The following is a 14,064-nucleotide window of genomic DNA, read 5'->3' as shown; positions in this document are numbered from 1 at the left end:
CCCTCCCTCCCCTCGCCCCCGCCCCCACCCCAAACACACACACACACCCTTCACTTGCTCACTCAGTGAAGCACCGGGTTCAGAAGGCACCGGGTCCAAACCCTCGTTTTAAAGGACTGGAAGCTAGAGAAGGCAGGTGACTTCAATCAAGGTCACCGGCATCTGAGGGACGAACCCCGCATGGCCTTTCGTTGCTGGGCAGCACCCGGCGCGCGCGACCTCCGGCCGCTGGCGTCAGGGAAGGCGGCCCAGGGCACAGGTGGCGGGCGTCGGGGGCGAGGCGCGCGGTGGCGCAGCCAGGAAATCCCGAGCCCACTGGGCGCCCCCCTCGGGAGCGCGGGCACGTGTGCAGCAGTTTACTGCGCGCCCCCGAGGGCCGGGGCTTCCCCTTCCCCGCCCCCTTGGCTTTCGCAGTCAAATCCCGCTCTCCGCCCGCCGCCCGCGGAAGTCTCACCGCGCAGCAGCACCCCCAGCCCGGGCGGTTCCGGGGACCGAAGGGCGCGGCACGTAGGGGGCCCGTAGGATCCAAACTGCGGAGGAGAAGCAGGAGGAGGGAGGAGGAAGAAGACAAAGGTGTGGAGGAGGAGGGGAGGGAGGAAGAAGGAAGAGAGGCAGAAGACTAGGAAAAAATGGGCCCGTGGGCGCGGAGGGGGCGCGGCGGGGTAGAGAGGCGCGGACGCTGAGCGAGCCCGGTGCCTCTCGAAAGCCTCACCGGCCGCCCGGCCGGGCCGCGCAGCTCCGCCAACTCCCGGGCCGGCCCAAGCCGGAGCGTGGCGCCCGTCGGGAGGTTGCAGAGTTCCTGGAGCTCACAGCTGAGCCCGAAGGAAGTCGCCCTCGATGGGCAGGAAGCGGGACCCAGGCACGCCCGCGCGGTCGCGTCCAGATCTGCCGTCCTCCGACAGGCGCAGGCCTGCTGCGCCTTCGCCACACACCGCCACTCTGGGCCTGGACTCCGTAGTTACGCCGGGATATCTCTGGGCATACAACCACCTCCCCTTCCCCACAGTCTTTTCATCTCCACCCGACCCCTTGCTAGGAGCAGCTTCTAGTTGCAGCTCAAGACCCGCGAGTTCACCCTCCGCGCCAAGCACCCAACTCCCGGCTCTGCCTACAGTCACCCACAGACCTAATGATCGACTAAGCGCCGTAATGGCCCGAGATGACACCAGGAGACTCCCTTGCTGTGCGCCTCCGGAAGACGCGGAACGTAGCCCCTTTCTCACACTCCTGGGACACAAAAATACCCGACAACTCAAAGTCGCCAAACCACATCTTTTCATGCTTTGAAGACTTCTGCCCAAGGCTGTGGCAGGAGTATGTCCAACTGTGATTTGGGATTCTTTTTAAACATCGAATCAAAGGGAAGAGGGGAGGGATTCGCAACTAAATGGTAGTTGTTTTCAAGCAAGTCTTTACGTAGCCCCAAACCTACTCTAGTATTCGGTGATTCAGCCCCAAAACATCTCTGCCTGCCTTTATGTTCGGATCTCACTCCATTATTTGTCAGCACCAAGTACTAAACCCACAAAGCGATCGCTGTACGGGACACCAAACCCATACCTGCCCGTCCCCTACCTTCCAGGCAACCAGTGTCAATCTCCTCACTATACATAATTCCCAACATCCCTGCCCGAAGTGAGGAGAACGGTAATTTAAATAATACAGCGGGGGAGGAGAGGACACACTGTTTTTGAAAGACTGTAAGCATTCTGCTGTTCCACTCTGCGTCCTTACACTTGCTGAGCACTGACACCAAATTTAAATGGCGTTCCTTCAAAACTGATGTAATTGTAAAGAGCTGTAAAGGGCAATGACCTCAAGTGGATGTTTTTTCCCAGGTACCCTACAAGGTTTGCACAAAGCAAGAAAGCATCATGTAACCGAAATGCTGAAAAGTATAGATGCTGCAAAACCTCATTCTGAGACTGAGAACTATGAATAGTCAGTGTATTTCCTTCTGCGGTGCAGAAAAAGAACAACCAAAAAGAAAGCAACAAGGGGAGATGTTATTTATTTTAATGACACCAAAACTACCAATCCTAGCAATTTAATAAATTAAAATCATAGTCCTTTAAATGTATTTAATGGTTCAAGTTTGTGTATTTGGTGTTAACTCTCTGGTAAAGTTTATGGAAAACAGTGAAGTACGTTAATTGAGCAAATTTTATATTAAAAAAGGAATAACACATTTTAAAATGTTTTTATATACCCACAATATTTGTGTTTCTTAGCTTGGTTCCTACTATTACATAATACAATGCATTTCTTATTTTTTAAAGAGCAAAAAGTGTTGTCACTTCTGGATCACTTTATGGTAATTCCTAGGTATACTTCTAAGCAAACAAACATATCTATTTATAATTTTATTCAACTCACAAGTAAGAGATATTTAAAAAAAACAAATTGAAAGTTTTTTTTTTCTTCCTGATGCAAAACTTAACAAACTCCAATTAAATTCAATATTGGTCTGCCAGGGAAACGACCATAAAATTTACAGAAATTCTCCCAAAGATGCCTTTCAATTCTTCTCCTGACTTTAGTTCTAACTATACCATTTTTTTATAATTCCTCTATAAAAATCGAATCAAATCAAAGACGACGAGGAAAGAAAAATATTTCTAGAGTGATCTTAATTAACTGATCATTTCAGCAAAGAGCATTAGCAATGAAGAAGCGGCGAAACTGTAGGGAGAAAAAAAAGGATGCATTTTGTTCTTCGTGTTTATAATCCTTCCTAGAGAACAGAAACTACGAGCATGATTTATGGAACTGCATTATCTTGGATTTTCTCCGCAGATTTGACTCAACTTAGTATCAGTGTTCTGTTAAAGCGCTGGAATAAGTGGATACATCTGCAGAGGTAAGAAACGTGGTTTGGGTCGGATGAGCCTCCTTGTTGCTGGAGGGTGCTTCGAGGACCAGGCTTAGGAGAGAAGGGGTTAAGTCAGACCCTGTCTTTAGCGGCGCAACGTGCCCAGTTTTGTCTGTTAAAGTCAACGTCGCCCAACTGGAGCCAGCCAATGGACGGCCGGGAGCGCCCGGGACAGCCCAGTGGAGGGGTGTGGCCTCAGGCTGTCACTCAGCAGTGAGGAATGACACCCGGGCGGGAGGGGGGTGGTACAGTGGAACGCAAGGGAAGGAAAGAGAAAAGAAACAGATAAAACCAGGGCAGGGGGTAAAAAAGTTCCCCGCGCCTCTCGGAATCCAGCGGCCGCGGCCGCGGCTACCGCCGCCGCCGCCGGGGGTGGGCTCCGGAAGAGCCTGCCCAGCAGGGAAGGGGAGGACGGGCCAGGAGCGAAATCCTGCAGGCGAGGAAGGGACAGACGCGCAAAGAAAAAGTGACTCGGGCTGTGCGCCCCGGCGGCGCTCGGGAGGGGACTGCTGCCACGGAGGGGCCCCCGCCAATCCTCCTTCACGTCCCCCGAGGGGGCAGACCCCAGCCCGCCCCTAAGGGCGAGAAGCGATGAGATAATCCAGCTGAGCTGCGAAAGGAGAGCGTCTGGCTCTGGATTCGGGGGGAGGGGGTCTCCGGGCGGGGTGGGCCTCTAAGGTGGGGGCGAGGGTCGGCGCTGATCCTGGGACGGAGTGGGGCGGGAGCTGCTGGGCCGCGCAGCAGTGGGCGGCGGCGGCCTCGCACACCCAGCTCACTCGCGCTGCGGCCGCCGGCGCTCTCTGTCCCGCTCGGAGCTGCTCGGCGCCCCAGCTGCCCGCCCCGCCGGCCGCTCCTGCCCGCGGCGCAGATGGCTGTGCGCGGCGCCAACACCTTGACGTCCTTCTCCATCCAGGCGATCCTCAACAAGAAAGAGGAGCGCGGCGGGCTGGCCGCGCCAGAGGGGCGCCCGGCGCCCGGGGGCACAGCGGCATCGGTGGCCGCGGCTCCCGCTGTCTGCTGTTGGCGGCTCTTTGGGGAGAGGGACGCGGGCGCGTTGGGGGGCGCCGAGGACTCTCTGCTGGCGTCTCCTGCCGGTACCAGAACAGCTGCGGGGCGGACTGCGGAGAGCCCGGAAGGCTGGGACTCGGACTCCGCGCTCAGCGAGGAGAACGAGAGCAGGCGGCGCTGCGCGGACGCGCGGGGGGCCAGCGGGGCCGGCCTTGCGGGGGGATCCTTGAGCCTCGGCCAGCCGGTCTGTGAGCTGGCCGCTTCCAAAGACCTAGAGGAGGAAGCCGCGGGCCGGAGCGACAGCGAGATGTCCGCCAGCGTCTCAGGTCTGCTGCGGCTTCGCGGGGATGGGGGCCGGGCTGAGGGGATGGACGCGGAGGGCAACCACGCCGAGTGGGGTGGTCGGCTTGAGCACCCTGCGCCCTGGGGCTCGGAGGCTGGCCAAATCCCGAAGTTCTGCGCTCTGGCGCGAGCTGCTCTATCACTTCGGGAACTGAGCCCGCGAGAGACCGGAGTAGCTCCTCAGAGCCCTACGTCCTGGGGTGAGGCCTGAGACATCCTGGGCCAATGTGCATTAGACTGGGTTGGGAGAACCGCTGCCCCTTGCGTTCGGGAGTTTTTGAGTTCGTCGCCAGTGCTTTCTGCCGTGTCTGTCCCCAAATCCCCAAAATCAGGGAAGCGGAAAAGTGAGGGGTTCAGAGACCTCAGGTAGCCAGTGACCTAGCTCTGGACCAGAGACCTGCCAGTTCAAGGTCCCAGGGCCGGGCCCCACAGTAGGTGGATAGGTGGTGAAGAACACCTCCGAGTGGGCCAGAGCTGAGAATCTGCAGAACTAGAGCTTTGGGGAAAGGGCTGGTTTGGCTTTCTCAGACCCCAGGTCTGGGAGAGCAGCCCTAGGCCGAAGATCCCGGATTGGGTCTTTAGTTCATCCTGGAGGCAGGAGAGAGGCCTCCTCAGCCGTGGCCTGTCCTGTCCTGTGGTCTGGAAGACCCGGGTGCCTGCCCTAGTTGGGTACAAGCTTCTGTAGGCCTCAAGCACAGGGGACCGCTGGACCTTTCTGCTGGAGTTCTTCGGAAGGGCGGGTACGAGACCGAGAAGCTGGTGTGGGATCAGGGTCCAAAAACTCGATGCAGGGGCAACCCTCCCTCTTTACTCTCCAGTCCATCCTCTCATCTAAGGCCTCGGCTCAGCCTGTTTCCATGTCTCTCACAGCAATCCCAGGCGGCTGAGGGTGAAAGATTCTAAATACCTTTGGCCCCAGGATCCGCCTCCACCTTCCCTTACCTGCACCAGACAAGTGTGTGCTGCGAGGACGCGCGCGTGTGTGCGTGTGAACTAAGTGTGGAGAGGCGCGTGAACCCAAGCAGAGAGACGGAAATGCAGTCTAGAATCCCAATGCTCAACGCTGAGAGCCGGGAGGGCTTTCGCGGATGCTCGGGTCGAGTGCCCCAAGTTACTGAGGGGAGCCTGGGGCCCAGAGAGGGTGGGGAGCTGGTCTCGACAACACAGCGTTGACACAGCGGCTGAGTCTGCCGCCCTCCCCAGAAGAGGCCTAGATGGGATACCCAGTGGGGCAAGAGTCTAAGACTGGTCTCCCGGGCCCAGGGCCTCCCAGACCTCCGCTCCGCTTGAGTGGGATCAAAGTGTATTTCCGCCCCACTCCCGTGACCCCTGCAGTTGAGGCCCGGCCTCACCTCGTCTGTGGCGCTGACAGTCTCTTGTTTCTGTTCCCACCGGGGTCCGCAGGCGACCGCAGCCCAAGGACCGAGGACGACGGTGTTGGCCCCAGAGGTGCACACGTGTCCGCGCTGTGCAGCGGGGCCGGCGGCGGGGGCGGCAGCGGGCCGGCAGGCGTCGCGGAGGAGGAGGAGGAGCCGGCGGCGCCCAAGCCACGCAAGAAGCGCTCGCGGGCCGCTTTCTCCCACGCGCAGGTCTTCGAGCTGGAGCGCCGCTTTAACCACCAGCGCTACCTGTCCGGGCCCGAGCGCGCAGACCTGGCCGCGTCGCTGAAGCTCACCGAGACGCAGGTGAAAATCTGGTTCCAGAACCGTCGCTACAAGACAAAGCGCCGGCAGATGGCAGCCGACCTGCTGGCCTCGGCGCCCGCCGCCAAGAAGGTGGCCGTAAAGGTGCTGGTGCGCGACGACCAGAGACAATACCTGCCCGGCGAAGTGCTGCGGCCACCCTCGCTTCTGCCACTGCAGCCCTCCTACTATTACCCGTACTACTGCCTCCCAGGCTGGGCGCTCTCCACCTGCGCAGCTGCCGCAGGCACCCAGTGAACCCGCTTGGGCTGAGGCAGCGAGTGATTCCCGCGCTCCGGCTCCGGACCGGCGCTGACAGCTGTAGGCTGTAGCCTGCACGGGGCGCCCCGCCAAGGAGGCACCTGGAGGTGAAACCCAGCTCCAGCTCCCGTTAGCCAGGACTTGTCCCCTGGCAGCTGGGCTGAGTCTGCCCTGAGGGGGCGCCTTTTTCTAATTTGAACAGAGGCACCCTATGGCCTAGGGGCCCTGATCGCCCACCTGCCTGGAAGCCCCTGGGCTCTATTTATTATCATGACAATGTTGGAATTAAATTTTGATTCGAATATGTCTGCCTGGGGGTGGGGTTTTCCCTGAGCGGCAACTCCTGGAGACCACATAGCCTGAATCCTCAGAATTTCAGGCCTGCTGGGAGCTTTCTGCACTAGGCCACACTAGTTCATGGTATCCATGCTACCAATCTATGTGTATCTACATATCTTTTATTTTTGGAAATTGCATTTGTAACCAAGGGGTGCGAAACCCTGGCAGTCCCAGGCAGCACCAGGCCAGGGGTTGATTTGAAACGTGAAGGATTGGGTTTTCAGGCCCTCTGCTCCACCCCTCCTGTGTGTCAGAGCTAGGGTGGGGGTGCCCGATTCGGGTGCTGAATGTAAGGAGGGGAGCCTCCAAGTGTGGTGCAAGCCGGGGGTCTCCACATCTTCCTTCTCTGAAGTCCAGGTACCTGCACAAGCAGGAAGCGCCTGGGAGTCCCGGAAGGAGGAGAGCGCACACCCAGGCAGCCCTCTGCGGAAACTTTCCTTGGTTTCTTTTTATTTGTGTAAAGGAGGTTAAGACGTGTCGCACTTTTCAGTTGTTTGTATTCAAATGACGATTATTTTTCTACTCAATGTGAATATCCCTGGCCAGCCTTTCCACGGCGCCCACCGCAGTGCCGCTGCCTGGCCCTCAGTGTCTACCTTCTGCCCTCTGCGACTCCAGTGCTCTGGCCCGGGACTCCCCTATCCGCCCCTCACTTACCCTTAAACAGGTGATCCCACCTGTCTTGTCAACCTCGCCGCTTTTCGCCTCCTTAATGGCACTGTGCACTCAACTAGAGTATTAACTGTAAAAAGATTTGTGAAGTTTGGAAGCTCTATTCGCTGTATTTTTTCTTTAATTTATAAACTTTTAGTTTAACATGCCCTCCTGGACGCCGCGTTTTCTCTGAAACTGTCTTTTCCCGACTTTTGGGGAACCAGTAAGGCGAGCTGGAAATAGCTGGGGCTTTTTCCAACCTCCTTTTAGTCTCGGACCAAGGATGCTTAGTCTCTCCTGGGAGCAGCCCTGCTGCCCGCCCACTCCTCAGGCAGGTTATAAACCTGGGCAGCTCAGAAAAATCATGACTTCGGGGGCTTTGCAGGAGTAATGGATGAATCCCACTGAAACCGGGAACAAATTCCTAGGATTTCTCCCCATCCTCCCTGTGAGCATTGGTTTCAGAGCCTAGTAAGAGTCCATGGTTGAACCCCCAGCCAATGTCCATCCCCCATCCCAATGTACCGACCCTTTCATCTCCCCTCACCCCACCCCACCCTGTTCTCTGCTTTCGATTTTAGGAGCGTTTCTCTACCTTATCTAGTGTTTAGTTTTGAGAGTGGTTTAGTGAAAACTCCCGCTAAAATTCTGAAGCGATTAGTTGCAAACCAGGCGTGAATAACCTGTCTCTCGGAGAAGGGTCACCCGAGCGTTTTCCTCGGACGGGTGCAATTGGGGCTCTACAAGGTTTCAAAGCGCTTCCCCGCACTCAATGAAAGGGCGTCATTTGGTACACACCGAAGCCCACCCGGGGAGCAGAGAATGGGCAGGGCACCGTTATTTATTACCCCATTTTACAGATGATCATACGCAGCTGGCGCTCCCAGACTCCCCAGAATGCTACGGATTCACTGGAGCTAAATGCTCACTTTCACTGGCAGCTCAAGCCGAGTTCCCGGCGAGCAAGGAAGAGTTAATGCCACATTGCGGGCGTTGAGGCCTCCAGTCCGCTGGACCCGAGTCGGGAAACACCAAAACCCTGGCCAAGGCTTCTTTCAATTTCACCTGGGGCCGAAAGGTCGATTAGCTCTCCAAGGCAACCGCGACTTTTCCCAGCCCCCGGGCCTCCAAGCTTTGGTACCCTAAAGGCCTTGGCCTGGGGTCCCTCAAGCCCTCGGATCTGGCCCGGGCGGAGCGTGGTGACCAGCGTTTTACAAAATTATCCCCGCTTCCAGAAACAGCAAAATGTAAAGGGAGAAGCAAAGGCCCTCGGGATATGCACACTCCCACCCGGTCCCCCACTGGAGTCCAACTACCTTCCATATGGTTCTTGCAATCATCTCGTTTCTTTATAAATGCAATCATCTCGTTTCTTTATAAAATGCTTTACAGTTCTATTTAAATTATACAATTAATCATGACTGTGTTTTTCTTGTAGAGAGTTGGAACATTTCCGATAATACTAGAATCTCCTCCCTTCTTCTCCCCAGGGATCACTACTTACTGAGGGGTTTTTTAGGAGGAGGGATTTTCTCCCTTTCTGAAAAGGCAGTTGCTTGTTGCTGCGTCTTAAGAGGGTAGTTTGTTCTCCATCTTTGCCGATTGGGCGGTGAAAGAATCCGGGAGTTTCTTTAGAGTAGGAAAAGCCACAGAGGTCCCGGTCGCACCCCTGGCGGCTCCATCTTCCACCGCAGACTCCACCTACCCTGCGGACCCGGGCGCCCCTTCCCTTTCTCTCCCACTCTCGGGCCCCCTGCCTGGGCCAGCTCCGCGGACTGGCTCCGGCTGCCCGGGGAAAATGACTCAAATGAATTCAGTTTGATCCAGATTATGGCTGTTTCCCTCCAAGCTGTCCCGCGGTTTGCCTTGGCGAGAATGCCCTGAGGTCTGATTCTGGGAGCTGGAGGCGACCTCTGGGTCCAGCCTGTCCTCCAAGGAGTTCTCGCCGTATTTTGCGACCCAGACCAATGTCTTTACCTGGGTCTTCTGCCGCAGACGCGGCTCCCGTTGAAAATTTGCAGTATTACTTTCTTCCTTTTCTTTACTTTCTCCTCTATCTTCTCTCCGCCTTTCTCTCTTTTTTCTTTCTTTTTTCTTTTTTTTGGAAAGATGAAGAACAGTCCTGCTCCCTACTCGAGGGTATCTCTGTTCACCCACTGCCTGCATCCCTGTGCTGCGCTGAGCCCTCTCGGCCTTCTCTGGGCTTGGTCCCCGGAGCAGTAGCAACTGCCGCCTGGGCCCAATGAACCTTGGGCCTCTTCATCGTTCTCAGTCCCTTTGGCGCTTAGCGAATCTTAGAACTTGGCCTTGGGGATTTTCGAATTAGATCCACCCACTCTACAGATGGGTAAACCAAGGCGAGGGGAATGGCTGGTAAAGGGGGCGGAACATCATGTCACTTGCACTGAAATTGGTCCCAAGGATTCAGGCCGAGCCCACAAATCTTACTCCTAGCAGCAAATTTGGGATCAACCAGCTGCCAAATGTAGCTGGTGGGTCTGCGTGTGTGTATGTGTGTGCGCATGCGTGTGTGTGAGAGAGAAAGAGAGAAAGAGAAAGAAAGAAAAAGAAAGAAAGAAAGAAAGAAAGAAAGAAAGAAAGAAAGAAAGAAAGAAAGAAAGAAAAAGAAAAGAGAGAGAGACAGACCTGGCTAGTCCCAAACCACATCTCATTTCAAGAGATTGGGTATGAGGGCCTCTTGGATCGCCAGAGAGTATCTTAGATGAGCAGGCTGAGTTGAGACTGGGTTCCGGTTTAGAAAATAAATGGTTTCCAGGCTGCACCGAATCCCAGCACCCTCACTGCTCCCCCACGCTGGTAAAGGTGACAGGGTGACAGTGAAGCATCATTCGAGAAGATTGTAATCGGGCTCAAACACAAGTGCCTGCCCTCTGAGTTGGGGCTCAGGCATGTCAGTGCCCAGAACCCTGAGAAACTGGGCCCGTGGAAGGGTGACATCTGGGGGCTTTTGAGGAGTGGGGAGTGTGCTGAATGCCGGCTCCTGGTTTCCTCTCAGGGAAGCGCTCTGGAGCAGACCCCGGCAATGGCACACTGAGCATCCTATAAAGGCAGAACCTCATCCCGGGTCTTCAGAAGTCCTGCCAAGCGGGGGTTCTAGGGCTCTAACTCCCTAACCGGCCGCTGGAGCTCAGCACCAGCCAGGCCAACAATCCACTCTCCTCTACCCACATTTCAGTCCGTGTTTGGGAAGAAAATGTGGAATATGGCTTTCTCAACGCAAAGTTCACGAAGTTTAACTCGCTTTACAGAAAGGCTCCTGCGTTGCAGAGGGAATATGAACAACAGAGAGAATCAGACAGTTCTCCTAAACCGGGGAACTGTCGAAGGAGCTCCTGGACCCCAACGGAGGAACAAGGGGCGTTTGGGCAGCACTCTTTCCCAGAAGCGTGGCAGATCCAGGCAAGGGCCCAGGCAGCTGCCCTGGTACTGCAGGGCTTCAACCTTGCAGGCCACCCACTTCAGCCTGCCAGCCACCTTACTTGGCAACCGCACAGACCTGCGTGGGGTCTCCAAGAGATGCCAAATGCTTGGTGGTGCTTTGTAAGTCGGAAAACGCTGAAGGCAGGTAGCTGCGCCGCTGGTTGCAACCGCTCTGGGCTCACAGCTGCTGCGGAAACCACCGCGATGGGTGAAGGCCCGACCGTAGCCTCGAAGGAAGCAGCAGCAGAGGCTTCTAATCCGAGGGAGGGCCGGGGGAGCAACCAAACAATATTGAACAATAAGAAGAACAACAAAAACAACTCCATTCTTTTGTCTGGAACGTTACAGGTGATGCGTTTCCAAATCCTGTTCGGATCCGGTTCGCAGAGGCTCCCTGTAGCCTGGTGCACATGACATCCATTTTACAAATGGGGAAACGGAGGCTTAACGAGGTGATGTAACTTATCCATTGCCGCAGTTCATTTAGAAGCCAAGTCATGGTAGTCCAAAGCGTATGGCAGGGTAGATTGTCCTTTAGTGCTGGCATCTGCCAGCTTTGTTTCTGGAATGGCCAGATCACAAAAGTGTGCAAACATTTTGAAAACCATCAAACACTGTACAACTGGTATGAGCTCATTGTTATTTTTACCATTATTATTATTATGAACTTCTGGGCAATGCTGGATTGGCTGGCGTAAAGCAATCTGCCTCGAACTCCTGTGTCCTTCAGGGGATTGCAAGGGTCCTGTAGGTTGCTGAGCTTAGGATCTCTCAAAGGTCTAGAGGCCCTGGCCTCTGCCAGTTTTTGCTCTCCCGATACGTTTTAGAAAGGAAGAAATGCCAAAGTACGGTGCAAAAAAATTGTGTTGTGTTATACATGCTTACATCACCTAATAAACAGGGGGTTTTGTAGTCACATACAGGAGTTATTCAACATAAATTGGGTCGTTCAAATTATTAAAGCATTTATAAAAGATTGATTCCCAGGCCCCTGCAGGCAGGGGTGGTCTAGTGTGGGGTATAGGTTTAAGTTGAACCATAAATTGCTTTTAAACATGCTGGGTGTATATCTGAGGTTGTGCCTGCTATGAAGAAAACGTCAAAAGTCTAAATGTGGGGCAATTCTGGAATGTAAGAACTGGGCAAATGGTCCTGCAGCCCCGCACTCCACCTTGAGTCCTGCCGTTTCTGCTTTTTGCTTGGAGGCGGTCGGGGAAAGGTAGGAGCGTGGCTTCTGGCCACCCAGAGCCGACCCGGAATCTGCGGCCACTGCGAAACGCACCACTCTGTTCGTGTTGGAATTTAACGGTTTAAAGGGAACGCACGGTAGCTGCGGGAGTGAGGGTGTCACCTTCCCTTGAGCCTCCCGCGAGGTAAGCTCGCTCCTGAGCTCAAATGTTTCCTCCAAGCTTGCGTGAACGTGCGTGACGAGTTCTCCAGGCTCAAAGCCCGCTCTCCTCAGCTTTCCCTCCCACTCCATGCCCCTGCTCGCAGTCCCTGGTGCCGCCAGCAGTTGCGGTTTGTGCGCCCGCGGAGCCAAGAGCACCTAGTCTCTGCAGCCCTCCTGGTCCCCTGTGAGCGCCTGCATTAATCCGCACTGCTTCTGCAATCTCGACTTTAAACTCTCGGCATGAGGATCCGGCGCTGGGTTCTGTGCTGCGGACCTGGGGGGCTTTTTGGTGAGTTCTTTCCGTCTCTGTCCCGGCCCCCTTCTGTGGCTACACTCAGCCTCTCTCCTTAGGACCTTGGTGTGTGCCCTTGCGCCTAGGGGGAGGATGCACGATGTGGAAACTTCTCTGCTGCCTGAGTGGGAGGTGGTCGAATGGGGCTCAAAGACCCCATAGGTACATAGAGTAAGGCCGCCTGAGGACCTGAGCGGGCTCCTCAGGTCTGAGGCAGCTCTACCACTGACTTGGTGAATTTTAGGCAATTAACTTCTGTTCTCTGGGCCCCCATTAAAAAAAAAGTTGTAAGACTCCTGAGTAACGGTTAGAGTTCAGACTCACCTCTGGCTTGTAGTGGAGTAAAGGACAAAGGCTTTTTACTTTAAATATTGAGTCGTGCCTTTCCTGAGCACAATTTTTGTTTGCGCGCGGGGGTCGGGGGGTTGTTATTTTAAAGATTTGGGTCGCCCCAAGTTGCTGCCCCGCAGATCTCCCCAGGAAGGTCACTGTATCTTTGGGCCTCCGCCATCAGCCTTCCTGGGCCTGAGCGGTCAGCTGTTTCGGAAAGTCCAGGTTTTCCTCGGGGAGGACTTCAAACTCACTGCGCTCGGTAGGGAGAAGGCCTGAGGCTAATCCTCCTCTGTGGCCGCACCAGTCTCTGGAGAACCGGAGAGTCCCCTGTCCTTAGATGAAAAACGCGCTAAGACAAAAAAAAAAAAAAAAAAAAAAAATCCCAAGTGTGTTCTCGCCAGTGGTCCACCAGAAAGAGAGGGTGGGCAGCCCGCTGTAAAACGAGAGCCAATAAAGCCGCTCATTTTAATAAGCTCATTAACATTTTTGAGTGGCTTTCCTTGTGCGCACCAAGGCCTCCCAGGGAGGCGCGGGAGAGCTGGGCAGCGGGGTGATTGCGCACCAACACCCACAAGCACAAGCGCGCTGGGGTGCCACCGCTTTCCTCACAGAGGACCTGGCCGGGCAGGAGTGGCTGGGCAATGCCCACAATGCCAACTCGGAACCTCAGCGTCCCCCAGCGGTCCAACCTCATTGTGCGCCGCACGCTGGACTGTGGCCATTGGAGATTACCAGGCTGCGTGGGTTCAGAGGTCGCTAAGGAGCTTGGGTGACCATATAAATGGCCCTGAATTGTCCCCGAAGCTTCGAGGGATCGGCAGGCCTGGGGTTTGTGCCGGTCTACTTCCTTTTGGCTTGTGTTTTTGGGAAGGGCGTCAATGGATTTGATGCTCTTGAGAATTCAAAAACCAAGTAGTAAACCTGCTCACAAACGGGTCGAGAGTATTCCTGCCAAAGTCAGGCTGCAGCAGGACGTCCTCCGTGTGCATCCTGGATGGGGTGCAGAGCTGTCACCAAGGTGACTGGCTTCTAGGAATCCCTGTTTGCGGAGGAGGCCGGGGGCACTGCCCCTCCTCTTTTCCGGAGAAGTTGAGCAATGCATTCTTGGACCCTAGGACTGCGAGAAAGGAAGCTAGAGACACACCCACACAGAGGTGGTGAGAAAGAAAAAGACGTTCCGGGGCAGAGCAGATAGAGAGAGCGGGCTGCAGGGAGGACCTCACTTGGCCAAGTTCTCCATATGCCTTCAGGTACTGATTTGCAGGTCTTAGGTCTTCACTGAGTCACCCACTCCCCTAGTTTGAACTAACAGTCCCTCCTGAGCAGGTCCCAGAGTCCTGACCCTTATCACCTGGGCTCAGTGTCGGGCTCTGGTGCTGTCTGGCCTAGGGACCTCTGAGAATACAGGGATGGGACCTCATACACTTACTACCGCCACAGCGCATCTAGC

General features: G+C 55.3%; 1 protein-coding gene and 1 long non-coding RNA gene across 4 annotated transcripts, besides 5 other annotated features; both read left to right on the top strand.

Annotated features, from left to right (window-relative positions):
• Positions 195-494: a silencer, noted in NCBI's record as "silent region_15288". NCBI's record gives its function as "represses an Ori minimal core promoter by ATAC-STARR-seq in GM12878 lymphoblastoid cells {active_cell/tissue: GM12878}" and the evidence as "EXISTENCE:reporter gene assay evidence [ECO:0000049][PMID:35858748]".
• Positions 331-2,079, top strand: LINC01096 (long intergenic non-protein coding RNA 1096). The gene has a single exon (NR_015450.1). It is a non-coding gene; the product is annotated as a long intergenic non-protein coding RNA 1096 (long non-coding RNA).
• Positions 411-7,325, top strand: NKX3-2 (NK3 homeobox 2). Of its 3 annotated transcripts, none has more exons than XM_047416050.1 (3): positions 411-573; positions 1,839-4,206; positions 5,627-7,325. In XM_047416050.1, the coding sequence occupies exons 2-3, from the start codon at positions 3,741-3,743 to the stop codon at positions 6,160-6,162; spliced, it is 1,002 nt and encodes a 333-aa protein (XP_047272006.1). In that variant the 5' UTR covers positions 411-573; positions 1,839-3,740; the 3' UTR covers positions 6,163-7,325. The 3 variants fall into 3 exon arrangements, with proteins under 3 accessions (XP_047272006.1, XP_047272005.1, NP_001180.1); XM_047416049.1 differs by having other exon boundaries at positions 1,037-4,206; NM_001189.4 differs by lacking the exon at positions 411-573 and having other exon boundaries at positions 3,647-4,206.
• Positions 520-1,020: an enhancer, noted in NCBI's record as "H3K4me1 hESC enhancer chr4:13548759-13549259 (GRCh37/hg19 assembly coordinates)". NCBI's record gives its function as "activates a minimal SCP1, AML or CMV promoter by ChIP-STARR-seq in naive H9 embryonic stem cells {active_cell/tissue: H9 hESC(naive)}" and the evidence as "EXISTENCE:reporter gene assay evidence [ECO:0000049][PMID:30033119]".
• Positions 685-804: a silencer, noted in NCBI's record as "silent region_15287". NCBI's record gives its function as "represses an Ori minimal core promoter by ATAC-STARR-seq in GM12878 lymphoblastoid cells {active_cell/tissue: GM12878}" and the evidence as "EXISTENCE:reporter gene assay evidence [ECO:0000049][PMID:35858748]".
• Positions 1,021-1,521: an enhancer, noted in NCBI's record as "H3K4me1 hESC enhancer chr4:13548258-13548758 (GRCh37/hg19 assembly coordinates)". NCBI's record gives its function as "activates a minimal SCP1, AML or CMV promoter by ChIP-STARR-seq in naive H9 embryonic stem cells {active_cell/tissue: H9 hESC(naive)}" and the evidence as "EXISTENCE:reporter gene assay evidence [ECO:0000049][PMID:30033119]".
• Positions 5,722-5,851: a silencer, noted in NCBI's record as "silent region_15286". NCBI's record gives its function as "represses an Ori minimal core promoter by ATAC-STARR-seq in GM12878 lymphoblastoid cells {active_cell/tissue: GM12878}" and the evidence as "EXISTENCE:reporter gene assay evidence [ECO:0000049][PMID:35858748]".

The sequence above is a fragment of the Homo sapiens genome, chromosome 4, assembly GCF_000001405.40.
Source record: "Homo sapiens chromosome 4, GRCh38.p14 Primary Assembly".
Taxonomy (NCBI): Eukaryota; Metazoa; Chordata; class Mammalia; order Primates; family Hominidae; genus Homo; species Homo sapiens.
This window is presented reverse-complemented; position numbering and strand designations above follow the sequence as displayed.